Genomic DNA, 13,084 nt, shown 5'->3' on the forward strand with positions numbered 1-13,084 from the left:
GTAGCATTGCTGTCCAGACGAGGGCCTGGCACACAGTGTGTTCTTGTAAATGCTGTACTCGGGTTCTCATCCTCACAGCTGCACCTAGAGCCCTGCTTCATGCAGTGCCAAGTTGCTGTTTTACTGGGACTTGGAAGCGCCAAGAGAATAAATGAAAGAAAATAGCTGGTATCTCAAAACGAAATCAGACTATGCACAGAAGTCGGGCTTGCAATGTGGAGCCATCAGAGTTTTGAATCACAGTCCCAGAGCTGCCACTCCTCAGCTCACTAGCCATTTTTTCCCCTTCTATAAAATAAAGGGCTTGTGATAAAGAATTTGAGGTGCCCTTTGGCTCAGGAATTCTACCTTCCCATGAGTTGTGAATGCTTTTTAAAGACCTCCTGGGTGTCCAGGCGTCTCAGTAAATAGAGTGATCATCTGGGTCTGATGAAATAAAAATAAGTTATTTCAGTATTTTTACCTTTTTTTCTGTTTTAGTGAGAAGTACTAGCTATCAAAGATGCCATCCTACTGATTGTATGAAATAGAATGAATGGCTTGGAGAGTACCTGATTAAACAATAGGTGGGTGGGCTGGTGATGAAGATCAACAGAAGGGAGAAGAGAAATAAAAAAGGGTGTTCCATGGAGAAAGGTGAGGTGATAAAAGAAACTGCTTGACACAAAGAGTCTTCTTTTGTTACCATGGTCATCAGTCTTCATTTGAGCCCCAGTGTTAGTGAGTTGTACTCACAGCACTTTTAGGTCACATTCTCATCAGAACCACACACAAGTTGACTTGTGGAATTTAAAGTAAACATTTAGGTGCAAAAGAAGCAGAAGCAAAGTGAAAGTTGCTGCACTGACACAGAGCGTCCACATCATCAATGCTGCGGCTCAGGCATCTTATGACCTCCTTCACCCAGGCCATCCAATTCTGTGGCCTGCTGGGGACTGGGAACCTGGGAATTTAACGGAATGCTCTGGGGACTTTGCAGGACAGTGATGCTATCAATGATGAGAGTTTGGCATCTTCACAAAAGAAAAGGTCTCACAAGAAGTCATAAGGTACTGAAAAACCATGCCAATAAACACCAGGGTGTGGCATGTTCTGGCTCTTTGGCATTCCTCTTCCTCAGATGTAGCTTCCTCAGCACAGCTTAACCAAGTGCAAGAACGGGTTGTGTGGCAGGCTCTGCTGTCAGACGCTGGCCAGGTTTTAAGACAGACAGAGAACTGTGACCTCAAGAAGCTCCATGCTTAGTAGGGAGGTAGACACGTCAACTGATAATTGCACGATCACATTTCATCTAGTGGATGCGTATAGATAGGATGATAGCTAATCTTTTGACTTGATCCTCTCATGGTAACTTCGATGCTTGAAAACACGATCTGCAAGGCCAAACAATGACAGCTCTCTGGAGGATTTGGAATTTGCCAAAGTCCCTTCTGTGGGTTTTCTCTGAAGGATGATGTTTTCTCCCTGGATCTCTGTGGTGGGCTTCTAACATGCCTTTCAGGAGAAGGTCTGAGAGTTTTAAAACTCTGCAAAGGAAAGAGCAGACACTGTCCCACCTTTCCTTTCTCCATGGTGTAGGCTGGGTGGGGCTGGGTGGGGCTGTGGGCTGGGGACAAAGGCAAAGGAATCCCGTCCTTTGCGTAGGTCGCTTCACTCTGGCAGAAACATCACATCCTGCCCTTGTCACCAGACGTCTCTGTCCACAATTACTCATCATCTGTGGATAGACAGCCCTGGAGGAGATCATCAATTGCCAATGCAATTCAGCAGATACACTTCATAAATTTTAATTACATTCCCACTGAAAATGAATGGTCAGAAAATATAAAACATCTGCCATCCAGATCATTTACATTTTTCATACAATAAATCATCAACAACATCCAAAACCATGGCTTAAATCATGTGAGTGTGGTAGGTCATGAAGAAGGAGCGCCATCCATCGTGCGATAACTATTTGGATCTCAGCCCTTCCTCGGATGTGGGAAGCGGGGCAAGGAGGGGGAGACCCAACGACTTATTGATGAGGGGGGAGAGAATTTTAGCCTAGCTCTGAAAAATATAAGTCCCCAGGTCTTATCTCAAACCTGCTAATTGATCTATTTACTATTATTTTGGCCATAGTAAAATAGGGGCCAAAATAAGTAAAAGAATATTTGGCCAATTATAACTGCGAAGAGCAGGCATTTATCACCCATGTGGCTTATTTATCTAACCTGCAAGTAGTATAAGAAAGATGCTTCGTTTTCAAAAATCAATTTTTATTAACATTATATTCATAGAATTCCCATTTGGCTCTAAGCATCTTCCGCGTCCTAAAGCATGGTGTGGGCATTCACATGCTGCTGGCCTCCCTCGAATTCCTTGGGAAGACAGGCATCTGTGCTAAGGACAGAGGGGCCTCTGAGGGACCTAGCAGCCCAGCCAAGGGGGCCTGAATCACACAGGTTGTGGACAGGACACACCGGCAGTGGAACCCCGTGCAAGCGGCCTCGGTGTCCTGAGTGGGGGCCTGTACAGCCGCCTCAGGAGTCATTCAGGGCTTTTCTCCATGCATTGTTGAGTTTTCCTTTCTCTGTCTCTTTTCTAAACACTTCCACCTCTATCGACTGAGAAGTGTGATTGGGAGCCCTCACTCTCCTCCCTAAGGCTCTTTTGCTGGAGTCTGGAGAAAGCCTTCTCACATGCAGTCAGGGACGTGCTGTGCAACTAGAGAAAGTGCGTGGTGAGCAGGGGCTCAGCAGCTGAGTCCGAGGAGTGAGTGCAGATGAAGGCCGCTGGCTTTCTGGGATTCTTGATATGAAATTCCACAAGAATAACGAAGACGATGACCTTTTTAAGGTCAAAGAGATATTAATTCAATGTTTTCATTTTACTGTTGAAGACACTGGGACCCACAGAGGTGAAGTGACCTGCCCACAATCCTGCTGCAGTCACCAGCACTCTGTGGTCAGAAGCTGTCCCTGGCGGCTGGGGGACGCACCTGCTCTTACTCTCCTTCTGCACTGGTCCAGCTGCCATCGGTTCTTCTGGCTAAACTGTGTCTTAACCACAAAGCGTTCATGTCTGTGTGGTGCAGAGTTGAACTGAGAAATATAGGAAAGTGATGTAAGATATGGTCCACCTGTCAGTAAAACAACCAGAACTGTCTGTGGAATGGTGCACCATGGAAACCAGAGAACGAAAAACAGAATCCTACCGTGAGTGCTATTTAGAGGTGCCAGGCGCTGGGCTGGCAGCACGAGGGGCTGCATATCCACCCTGTGGACTCCTCCTCACCCTGCCACAGTGCCCTCTGGTCTTCTACAGAAGGACGCCACAGACGTGCATCTCCCCACTGTCCCTTTGACTGTTTGGGACCATGCTGTCCAAAATTTAACACACAATTGAGCTCTTTTCCTGTCTCCTCAAATTCTGACTCTGCATCCTAGATCTGGCCAGCGTTTCTCTCCCCTGCAGGGTACATCTCCTTTGGGCGTGGCCTCAGGATCCCCACACAGGAGGACTGACCTTGCCAAAGGCCTGGCAAGGTGTGTTCCTGGGTCTCTGCCCAGAGGCATGTTAGACCCAGCCCCTTCCTCCAGGTCCACTCAGAGGTCAGGTCGTCGATCTAGACACGCCTTTCACAAGCTACTTCTGCCTCTCCCTCTAAATATAAGCTGAGATGCCTAGTGGTTTCAAACAATAGAGATGATTTCATACACATGAAAACTTGATAAAATCATTAGAAGATGTCATTCAAAGTTAATGGGCAATTTTTCTCTCTAGGGTAGGTAATTATTTTGGTAGGCATTTTTTGAAAAATAAAATCTTAAGGTTTACTGACCAATTTTTTTGTTGTTGTTATATTCTATTTCCAGTAAGGATGCTCTGGCTGACTAACGTTCTCTTTTCGGATTCAATTGGACATGGTTCTCCAGTGCTTCTTGGCTCTAATTACGGCGGAATGTGCCTGTGAGTTGTCCAACAGCTGCCACATCCTTGTTAAGGTTAGCTGCTTTTGAAAGTTAGTCCAAAGTTATATATCTTCAGAAAAAGTGAGCAGGAAGTTGCCATATTTGTCTAGATAATTAAGAATGAGATGTGGTAAAAGTGGGTCTGAATTTCAGATAGAGATTTCCTTTCCTGCTTGAATGGAATTGAAAAGAATGCAATTGATTTGGCATTAACATATTTTTGCTTCCTGGAAAAAAAAAGTTTTCCACTGTAACCGTTTCTGACAGTTCTTGAATTCTCTAGAAGACCAAGAGTCCTATATGCCTAACAGACAAATATATTCAACATACACGTAGAATGTAATATTGAGGGTTAATATTTTCACTCCTATTCAATTTAATAGATGTTTCTGGCATGATGGAATTGTGAAACTTTATTTCTCTCTCAATGTTTTCTAAAAACAAAGAAAAGAAAAGAAAAATAAATGAAAGTAAATGAATTCTTAGGAAAAATATTTCCATATTTTCCATCTTCTCCCAAAACTTCATTTTTGGAAAATTCTAAAACAAATCTATTTAATTTTATTACACTTCAAAGCTAAATTTTAAAAACTCTACAAGAAATTAAGATACATTTTGGTTAAGTGAAAAAATTAACTGTTAAAACTTTTCCTGGTTTAGACATTAATGAGAGAAGATCTTGTGAGAATTGAAGGAAAATAGAAAAAAAATATTGCAGTTGCAAGAGAAGAATGATGCCTGCTCCGTGGGAATAGTCAAGCCATGAAAAACCAGCCACCTCATTTCTTCCCCAGAAGACCATAAGCACATGGCATCTCACTTTGAGGGGCAAATTCTGAGTTTGGCACTTTATTTATATTTTATTAATGTAAACAATAACAAAACACGTTCAATCACAAGCACTCTACTCAGCCAGCTTTATGTCTACCTCTGAATCGAGGCACTTCTGAGATGCTTCTCAGTGTTAGGGAATGCTGGCCTGGAAGGCTTAGGAGCCAACTGGCAAGCTCATTAGAGGACCAAGAATTGCATCATAAAACAGTGGGACCAAATGTGTGGGCAGTTATTTTAAAACATTATAAAAACCCACCACTGTGTATTTTTCTATGAATTGTTGACAAATGTGCTTAGTAATAGGATAAGTGAAGAAAAATGAATGAATTAGTTGAGATTTACTTACATTTTAACATTAATAATAAAATACATGATGTTAGATGAATAAAATAATCAATATAGACACCTTTATATAGACATCCTTATCCCAGAACTCTTTGTAAAGGACATGTAATGATCATAACCATAACAGCAGCAGCAACTCAACAACAAGAGTGGCCCCACAGGTTCATGGAGAACGTGGGCCACACAGACACTATGCTTGACCCATGAACGCGATTGCATTCAACCTCTCCTTAGGAGAGACTTGGCTACCAGATCACGGAACTGTTAAAGATGTAGAGGCCCCCTGGATGGGGTCAACTGGATGTGTCATTTTTCTGTTTAATTTCTAGGATGGAGTCCTAATGCCTTTGAAATAAGACGTAATTATGTGAACATCATATAAGAAATTTATACCTATGATGACGTCTTACTCTATGTGTCTAAGACAAAAAAATTATGTCTGCTCTTATTCTTCCTACCACATAGCTCTGTGTTTATTGCTTCCTGAAAATTAATGTTTTTATTGATCACTCTTAAAAAAAAAAAAACAGGGTGAGAGGAAACTACTAAGTTGATTAAACTGGTAACCAGTTCTGCGATTTCTTCACCAGCCTGCTTTATCATGATGATAAGACTTTGGTCTTATTTTCCAAATATCTGTAATGCCTCAAAATGAACCAATGATGTTTTAACCCAATAACTCAGCTTTTTTTTTCTTAAAGAATCTTGCTGAGTCACTTTCCTAATACCATTCTCCAGTCATGGAAGTCAGCCAGCTTTGTAATACTGTCTTACAGATGCTCTTCAACTTTTATTGGTCACGATTTGTTTCCCTAAGATTTGTATGCCTTTCAAATCTTCAAAGTTAGTGAAGCTTTCTTCAGCCAGGATTCATCTGTTTATAGAGCAGAGTGGGTGGCTTTTGGAAAATACTTGACATGTTATAATATTGGGCTGAGGAGTCACACGCCACTATCCAAGTTGTCATTGAATGTGCATTTCCTCTTGGGAATGGAGTCCTTAAAACTTTGAGTCCTTTACCAATAGCAAAAATTAGCATCCCTTAACATTTTCACCTGCCTTAACATTGTGGCCTCTGTTCTGCAGACTTCAGCTATTAAGTCAGTTTATTTTTCCCCGACATTATAAGCTACACGCTTCCCACTCACTTCTATCCTGTCTAGCAAACACACTAGTCTTTTCGGTTACTACTTTAAATCACAATGAAAACTATGGTTGTGTATTCACATGCAACTATGGCGTGTGAGTTGATCCCATCCTCTGAGCCCAATCTGTGTGAAGGAAAATGTTTCTCATTAGGAAACCACTTCGTTGTGATCCTTTGGAACCATTTCTAGCTTGTACAAATTATTCAAAATAGACATCTTTCCTTTCCCTGGACTCCACCCCGGCCTTGTCTAGCTTTCTGGTGCTTCCAGAAGTTAAACAAGCAGATGTTATAAACAAAAACAAACAAACAAACAAAAAGCAAAACAAACAAAAAAATAAAAAATAAAAAACATGAAAGACAAAAACAAAAAGAAAACCACTACCATGAATAAATTTCATCTTCTGTGCATTTCTGTTAAAATTTATAAATTTTATATTCTCCATTAAATCTGTGAAGATAATACCCAACTATGTAAACACATTGATATTCGTGGATTTTAAAGAAAATTCTAACAGTACTGACTACTTAAAGTACAGACTTAAAACTGTAAAATTATCCTGACACTTGAGGCTAAAGAACATCTTAGTAAGTGATTTGCTGTGTCTGTTAACATTTTGTGAAAATTTGTAGATGTGTACACTATGTTTGGGTTTGAAGCACTTTCTCACCTCTAACTTTTTTCCTTCTTCACCCCCTTAATCACAGACACAGGAATGCAGCTGCCCTGTGTGTGTCTCCTTCATCCTGCTGGGGACAGGCACGGGCAAGGAGAGCTCAGGGGTAACACACGGGCATAATTGGGGTCTGATGAAATAGGCTAATCATGGATCCACTAAGCAAATATTAATTTTCATTGGAAGCCCTGCCATTTTGTGAACTTATAAGAAATAAACAGAAGTATTGTTAGCCTCAGGATGTATCTCTTTTCTTTAAGAAAAAAGAAACCCATTGATAAATGTCTCTGAAAGGCTAACTCTCACCACTTCATGCTCTTCTAATGCTTCTGCACTGTCCTATGTGAGGCTTGAGTGATGTGGGTGTGCCACTGAAGGGCCGTGGGTAGGAGCGGTGTGTTTTCTGAACACCTGTTACACCTTTATTACCCAGTTCTATGAAAACATGTATAACATAGAAGCAAAGCACTCATGCTAAAGATCGCTTCTGCTGATCCTTGCTGCCAAGATCTCCCTTACGGTCCTCAGCGTCTCTTCCCTTGACCAGGTTCTTCCTGTCTTCTTGGGCTGCTTTCTCTGTATTATTTTTCTCTTCTTCTTCCAGCTTATGGAAACCATTCCTACCACAATTTTCTCTTCTAAATTTGGTTTGATAAAACCAAATACTTTTCATTGTTTCACCTGCAGTGATCTTTTTCTTAGACTTTTGCATTTTGCATTCTTTTAGTTTTAGTATCTGTACTGGCATTTCTTATATAGAGGTCCTGTTCACACCATGCCCACATTCTACAGTGGATTATACACTTTGAATATCAAGCTCCAGCTATATGAGGTAGTTTGGGATTATTGAAAGGACACCAAGAGGCAGAATGGCCATGTAAGTTATTGTTCAAGTCAGGATACTTTTGAGAGTTAAAAAAGGCAAGTTAACAACATCACACCACGGATGTAACTGGGACAATTCCAGCCAAGAACTGAGATGGTCCTTTCTTTCCTCCTCTCCCACCCCATTCTCCTCCTTGTCCTCCTTCTTCTTCCTCCTCTTCCCCATCCTCCTCTACTGCCTGTTCATAGGGGAAATATACGTCTGTCTGTCTGTCTATCTATCTATCTATCTATCTTTCTATCTATTATCTATCCATCTCCCAAATGCAAACACTGAATCACTAGTCAATAAGTCTCATTATAAATGTTTGATGCTAGCCCAATGCTGGGCTCACTTTCTAAACTCCTAGGTAATTCCACAACAGAAAGAAATAAGATTTCAGGTATTATTTTATGTTTCTTATAATATTATCAGTATAGGATACTAGTTAAACTGTGGAGACACAGAGACAAATGGAGACTAGTCTGAATAACCTGGAGACAGTCCTCTCTCACAGCAAAGTAAAATCTGGTTTGGTGGTTCTGCTTTGCAAAGTTATGACGGGCTCAAGCTCTTCCTACCTTTTTGCCTCACTCTCCTGACCTGTTGTCCTCTCCACATAGCCCCAGATGACTCACCATCATATCCACATTCTAGCCAGTGGGAAGGGGAAATGGAGTTGGTAAAAGCATGTTCCTCTTTCTCTTGTGCACTGCAACTCTGCACAGTCCATCTGTTCTTACCCCATTGGCCAGAATGCAGTCACCTTGCTTCTACTGGCTGCAAGGAAGGATGGGGATTGTAGTTTTTCCCATGAGAACTCATATACCCAGACTAAAATTGGTAACTGTATTATCAAGAGAGAGTGGGAGCAACTTGGGGACATTGACAGTTTCTGTCACACTTAGCAATATGATGTACTCATAGAGGGATACACAATTCTTGCTGTTGTTGCCTATTGATAACTTCACTGTGTATTTTCTGGTCTTCAGTTTACCATATTGTGATATATACTGTGTACATGTATAGGGACTTCATTACTTTCACTCAAAAGCTCCAATAAAGAATCATGCAGTCTAGGTGCAGTGGCTCACACTTGTAATCCCAACACTTTGGGAGGTCAAGGCAGGAGGATCGCTTGAGGCCAGGAGTTTGAGACCAGCCTGGGCAACATAGGGAGACCCAATCTTTACAGAAAATAATAATAAAAAGAATCATGCAAATCTCTAATTGTGGAAGTGTTATTTTAGCAAACTACATGAAAAGCTTACGGGTTATACCATTCATTTCCTTACCATGACATTTTATTTAATTTAACTACAAAATCTCAAAGAGTCTAATACTTTCTGATGCTCTTTTCATTTTGTGCCTTTCACATTATAATTTATAGCTTAAAGCCACCTTTCTCAAAGTCTAAAAATCTGTTAGTCAATTTTTCCCTTTTTATAACCTTTCCATATATTCTGTCATATTAAAGAGATGATGAAGCCCATTATGGCCATTAGAATTCTGATGCAATTAAGTTTTATTCCACTATAAGTGACAGGTACTTGATTCCTTCTTGGAATGGGATAATTTTCTACAGGCCTGCAACTCTTACACCCTCGTTAATTTGCAAGGCTGTTTTAGAAAATATGTTGTCAGTGCTGAATGAGGTACATCTCTAACTTTGAACAAATCATTGTCTTAATGTTCTTCAGGTTATAACATCCATTTAAAGAAAAACCTCACCATTGTCCCCAGGAGAGTCAATAAAAATGCTTCTGTGCTTTGTTTGTGGACACTTAAATAATAGGAGAGCTCCCCCTACTGATTGACGTTAGGGAATTATGGAGGAGGGGCTAATCTCAGGCCTTTCGCTCTTGTTAATTTCTCTAATGCTCATGCACAGACCAAGATGAAAATCAAAAGCAAGCCTGTTTGACACTGGCTTTTGAAATGCTTAAAAACATCAGCATTTGTCAAGTGGAAAGATTTTCATTTCAAAGTTCTAACAGGTTATTATTATTCCAAGCAATGGAGAGTTAAAAAAGGTTGAACAACTATAATAATGGTGGCATCTAAGTGTGGGGAGTGATCAGGTGTTATTGTTTGTTTGCATAAAATGATATCACCTAGCTTTGTGTTGGGTTTGTTTAAGAAATGTAGGCTAATTAGGCCATACAAGTAACTTTGTTTTCTGAAAATTAATTAAGCTTTTGTGGCCTTACCAGGTTACAGGGCCAGGCTCACCTCCCACACAGTTGCTCTGGAGCTATGTAGGAGGCAAGCCTGTCTCACGCTGAACTGCCAGGTGATGCCGTCACGGGAAGAATGGAGTTTAGTAATGCTGCATTTGAAGTCTTGTTCAAGTCGTAAAATGTTGGATTCTATTTTTATTAAATCGCTTAAACTTTCAACATAGTGAAAAAGATTTATTTAACATACATTTCACAGGCCTTTTTGAATGCATATTTTTTGGGAAAAAATACAGCAGAGGACATTTCTATAACTAAAGCTACTGTCCTGAAGGGACAAAACAAGCGCGTTAACTATTGAGGTCCTATTGTTTCATCAGGCCATCGGCAGAAACATTGAAAATGTTGTATTTGTAGGGTTATGAGGGAGCTCTACCCATCTCCTTCAAGTAAGACAGACATAAATCCTCTTTATGATTCGAGAATATCGTATAGAATCTACATAAAGTCTTAGAGGCTGTAGAGAAATAGGTTTTATTGTAAGAACCCCCAAGTAGAGAAACCAAACCAAGCATCTGGAGAAGCATATGATGTAGTGAGCTTGACAAAAAAATGCCTCATCTATAGGAAGAAGGACTGTTTTTAGCAACCTCCTTTTTGTATCTGAACACTTTTTTAAAACAGCTCTATTGAGATGTAATTTACATACCATAAAATTCTCCCATTTAAATTATACAGTTCAATGCTTTTAATATATTTACAGAGTTGTGTAACAATCATGATCTGATTTTGGAACATTTTTCATCACCTCCAAAAGAAACCCCATGTCTATGAGGTGTCACTTCTTATCACCCCCTCAATCTTCAACCCCGTACCCATTAAAAGTCACTCCCTATCACCCCCCTCAATCTTCAACCCCAGCCTCTGAAAGTCACTTATCTGCTTTTGCCTCCATGAATTTACCTCTTCTGGACATTTAATATAAATGGAATAATAATATTTGATCTTTTGTGATTGGCTTTGTTTCATGGCATAATATTTGAGGTTTATCCTTGTTTTAGCATGTATAAGTAATTCATCTTTTTTTGCCAAATAGTATTCCATTGTATGGGCATACCACATTTTGTTTATCCATTTATCAGCTGAAGGACATTTGGGTTGTTTACACTTTTTGGCTGTTACGAGCAGTAGCTGCCCTCGGTCTTCATCCAGAAGTCTTTGCAGGGACATATGTTCTCATTTTCCTTGGGTAGTTACTTAGGAGTGGAATTTCTGGGACATATGGTGACTCTATATTTAACATATTGAGGAACTGCCCAAATGTTCTCCAGTGTTTCTGCACCTTTTTACATTCCCACCAGTAAGGTGGGTTCCAATTTCATCACATCCTTACCAACCTTTATTATTGGCTTTTTGATTATAGCTATTCTATTGGATGTGCAGTGGAATCTTATTGTAGTTTTGATTTGCATTTCCCTAATGAGTAAGGACATTGAATATCTTTTCATGTGCTTTTTCGCCATTTGTATATCTTCTTTGGAGAAATGTCTGTTCAAATCATTTGCCTGTTTTATGACTGGGTTATTCTTATCATTATTGTGTTATGTGAAGTTGCTTTTATATACTTTGGATACAGGTCTTTTATCAGATATATAATATTTTCTCTAATTTTATGGGCTGATATTCCAATTACTTGATGATGTTGTTTGACTCATAAAAGTTTTTAATTTTGATGAAGTCTAATTCATCAATTTTGCCTTTTATTGTTTCTGCTTTTGGTGTCACATTTAAGCAATCACTGCCTAACCTAAAGTTCCAACAGGTCACAGAGATTTACTTCTAAGTCTTTTTACAAGACATAGAAATTGGTTTAGTTTTTACAGTTAGGTCTATGATCCATTTTGAGTTTAGTTTGTATATGGCATAAGGGAGGGGGCTAAATAAAGCCTTATGCATGTGGATATTCAGTAATCTCAGCACATTTATTGAGGGGACTGTTTACCCCCATTGGCATCTTTATGGAAAATTAATTGACTATAAGTGTAAGTTTTTCTTTCTGGACTTTTAACTTTATTCCATTCATCAATGTGTCTATCTTCATGCCAGTACCACACTGCTTTAATTATTATAGCTTTGTAATAGGTTTTAAAATGGGAGAATGTGAGTCTTCTTTGTCTTTTTTTTTTTTTTTTTTTTTTAGCATTGATTTAGCTATTCTTGGTCCTTTGCATTTCTATAGGAATTTTAAGGTCAACGTATCAATTTCTGCAAAAAGAAAAATGGCCCCTTTTATTGATATTCCCTCTGTAGGGGTTTGGTATACCTCTCAGAGTCATATGCAATTTCCCCACCTCTGTCTCCTGCTAACTCAGCCCACTAAACTTATGCTGTAAGAACCCTCTGGTACATGGGGGACACCAGGGTTAGAATACCTTTTACCACCTTGTGTGTCCCTGTGAAATCATCTGAACTTTTCAGCCTCAGTTTCCTCATTCATAATATGAGAATGAGAATGCTTAATTCATGGGATGATTGTGAGAATAGAAAGTGATTCTGGATCTTCTGGATTCTGGCTTGGCATATGAGGAGCTTGAAAGTCGTCACTCCATTCTAACAATAAGTAAGAAGCTGAACAAATGGCACAGTCAATGATTCATTAGATCTGTTGGAAAAGTGAGGTAACTGAGCAAACAGCCTGCCTCCAAAGTAGAGAGACAGACAGGTAAATACAGAGAATCATGTGAGTAAAGCAGAAACCCATCAGCAGAAACCTCCATGGGAACCAGAGCCCAGGAAGGGAAACTTAACCTGCAATTGAAAAAGTGTTGGAGGCTCAATGTGGACAAGGCTGAGAGTTAAAAACTCCAGGGGGACCCAGTAATAAAGAATGCCCCTTCTCCTGATACTTGTGAGGTTTACCTCCAGGAACTTGATTGGGCTTTCACAGAAAAATCCTTTTGTGCTCCCGGCAGGGGGAGAAGAAAAGTAACCGTTTTGAAATATGTCAGAACATTCTGTTCTTAACAAGGACTGCCCTCAAGAGAGACAATTTTACAAGAGCCTAAACTACTGTGGTTTTTCTT

The 13,084-nt window shown here is 39.9% G+C and overlaps 1 long non-coding RNA gene across 3 annotated transcripts; it reads left to right on the top strand.

Moving 5' to 3' along the window:
• The first annotated feature begins 3,222 nt into the window (after positions 1-3,222).
• LOC105372201 (uncharacterized) lies at positions 3,223-8,975 on the top strand. Of its 3 annotated transcripts, none has more exons than XR_935637.3 (3): positions 3,223-3,530; positions 3,861-3,989; positions 4,617-8,975. It is a non-coding gene; the product is annotated as an uncharacterized LOC105372201 (long non-coding RNA). The 3 variants fall into 3 exon arrangements; XR_935638.2 differs by having other exon boundaries at positions 3,232-3,460; XR_935639.2 differs by lacking the exon at positions 3,223-3,530 and adding an exon at positions 3,545-3,769.
• Positions 8,976-13,084: the final 4,109 nt, after the last annotated feature.

Source organism: Homo sapiens, chromosome 18, assembly GCF_000001405.40.
Source record: "Homo sapiens chromosome 18, GRCh38.p14 Primary Assembly".
In the NCBI taxonomy this organism is placed as follows: Eukaryota; Metazoa; Chordata; class Mammalia; order Primates; family Hominidae; genus Homo; species Homo sapiens.